Source organism: Homo sapiens, chromosome 4 (assembly GCF_000001405.40).
Source record: "Homo sapiens chromosome 4, GRCh38.p14 Primary Assembly".
In the NCBI taxonomy this organism is placed as follows: Eukaryota; Metazoa; Chordata; class Mammalia; order Primates; family Hominidae; genus Homo; species Homo sapiens.
In genome coordinates this window covers 156,105,315-156,107,814 of record NC_000004.12, presented here as the reverse complement: position 1 = coordinate 156,107,814, position 2,500 = coordinate 156,105,315, and the positions used below count along the sequence as shown (strand labels likewise).

The following is a 2,500-nucleotide window of genomic DNA, read 5'->3' as shown; positions in this document are numbered from 1 at the left end:
AATACAAACTCGACAGTAGTTCCAAATAGCCAGAAAACGGCACTTTCAATTTTTCCATCCTGCAAGATCTAAATAATTCTTGTCATAAAATGGGCAAACAGTCTGAGGTGCCTGACGTCCAGGCATTCTTTTACATATCGGTCCCTCCCTAGTCTCTGTGCCCAGTGCAACTCGTCCCAAATCTTCCTTCTTTCCCTCCCGCCTGTCCCCTCAGTCCCAACCCCAAGTGTCGCTGAGTCTTTCTAATCTTCCTTTTCTACAGACCCATCTGACCTCTCCCCTCCTCCCAGGCTGCTCCTCGCCAGGCCGAGCTAGTTCCCAATTCTTCCTCAGCCTCTGCTCCTCCACCCTATAATCCTTTTATTACCTCCCCTCCTCACACCGGGTCTGGCTTACAGTTTCATTCCGTGACTAGCCCTCCCCCACCTGCCCAGCAATTTACTCTTAAAAAGGTGGCTGGAGCTAAAGGCATAGTCAAGGTTAATGCTCCTTTTTCTTTATCCCAAATCAGATAGCGTTTAGGCTCTTTTTCATCAAATATAAAAATCCAGCCCAGTTCATGACTTGTTTGGCAGCAACCCTGAGACACTTTACAGCCCTAGACCCTAAAAGGTCAAAAGGCCGTCTTATTCTCAAAATACATTTTATTACCCAATCTGCTCCCGACATTAAATAAAACTCCAAAAATTAAATTCCGGCCCTCAAACCCCACAACAGGATTTAATTAACCTCTCCTTCAAGGTGTACAATAATAGAAAAAAGTTGCAATTCCTTGCCTCCACTGTGAGACAAACCCCAGCCACTTCTCCAGCACACAAGAACTTCCAAACGCCTGAACCGCAGTGGCCAGGTGTTCCTCCAGAACCTCCTCCTGCAGGAGCTTGCTACAAGTGCCAGAAATCTGACCACCAGGCCAAGGAATGCCTGCAGCCCAGGATTCCTCCTAAGCCGTGTCCCATCTGTGCGGGACCCCACTGGAAATCAGACTGTTCAACTCACCTGGCAGCCACTCCCAGAGCCCCTGGAACTCTGGCCCAAGGCTCTCTGACTGACTCCTTCTCTGCTTAGCAGCTGAAGACTGACGCTGCCCGATCACCTCGGAAGCTCCGTAGACCATCACGGACACCGAGCTTCAGGTAACTCTCACAGTGGAAGGTAAGTCCGTCCCCTTAGTCAATACGGAGGCTACCCACTCCACATTACCTTCTTTTCAAGGGCCTGTTTCCCTTGCCTCCATAACTGTTGTGGGTATTGACTGCCAGGCTTCTAAACCCCTGAAAACTCCCCCACTCTGGTGCCAACTTGGACAACACTCTTATGCACTCTTTTTTAGTTATCCCTACCTGCCCAGTTCCCTTATTAGGCTGAGATATTTTAACAAAATTATCTGCTTCCCTGACTATTCCTGGACTACAGCCGCATCTCATTGCCACCCTTCTCCCCAACCCAAAGCCTCCTTCGTGTCTTCCTCTCGTATCCCCCAACCTTAACCCACAAGTATAGGACATCTCTACTCCTTCCCTGGCAACCGATCACAGCCCATTACCATCCCATTAAAACCTAATCACCCTTACCCCACTCAATGCCAATATCCTATCCCACAGCATGCTTTAAAAAGATTAATGCCTGTTATCACTCGCCTGCTACAGCATGGGCTTCTAAAACCTACAAACTCTCCTTACAATTCCCCCATTTTACCTGTCCAAAAACCGGACAAGTCTTACAGATTAGTTTAGGATCTGCACTTTATCAACCAAATTGTTTTGCCTATCCACCCTGTGGTGCCCAACCCGTACACTCTTTTGTCCTCAATACCTTCTTTCACAACTTACTATTCTGTTCTCGTTCTTAAAGATGCTTTTTTCACTATTCCCCTGCACTCCTCGTCCCAGCCTCTCTTTGCTTTCACTTAGACTGACCCTGACACCCATTAGGCTCAGCAAATTACCTGGGCTGTACTGTCGCAAGTCTTCACAGATAGCTCCCATTACTTCAGTTAAGCCCAAATTTCATCTTCATCTGTTACCTATCTTGGCATACCTCATAAAAACACACGTGCTGTCCCTGCTGATCATGTCCAGTTAATCTCCCAAACCTCAATCACTTACAAAACAACAACTCCTTTCCTTCCTAGGCATGGTTAGTGTTGTCAGAATTCTTACACAAGAGCCAGGACCACACCCTGTAGCCTTTCTGTCCAAACAACTTGACCTTACTGTTTTAGCCTAGCCCTCATGTCTGCCCGCAGCGGCTGCCACTGCTTTAATACTTTTAGAGGCCCTAAAAATCACAAACTATGCTCAACTCACTCTCTACAGCTCTCATAAATTCCAAAATCTATTTTCTTACTCACACCTGATGCATATACTGTCTGCTCCCCGGCTCCTTCAGCTGTACTCACTCTTTGTTAAGTGTCCACAATTACCATTGTTCCTGCCCCGGACTTCAGTCCGGCCTCCCACATTATTCCAGATACCACACCTGACCCTCATGACTGCAT

At 47.4% G+C, this 2,500-nt stretch overlaps 1 annotated feature.

Moving 5' to 3' along the window:
* Positions 913–1,414: an enhancer, noted in NCBI's record as "H3K27ac hESC enhancer chr4:157027553-157028054 (GRCh37/hg19 assembly coordinates)". NCBI's record gives its function as "activates a minimal SCP1, AML or CMV promoter by ChIP-STARR-seq in naive H9 embryonic stem cells {active_cell/tissue: H9 hESC(naive)}" and the evidence as "EXISTENCE:reporter gene assay evidence [ECO:0000049][PMID:30033119]".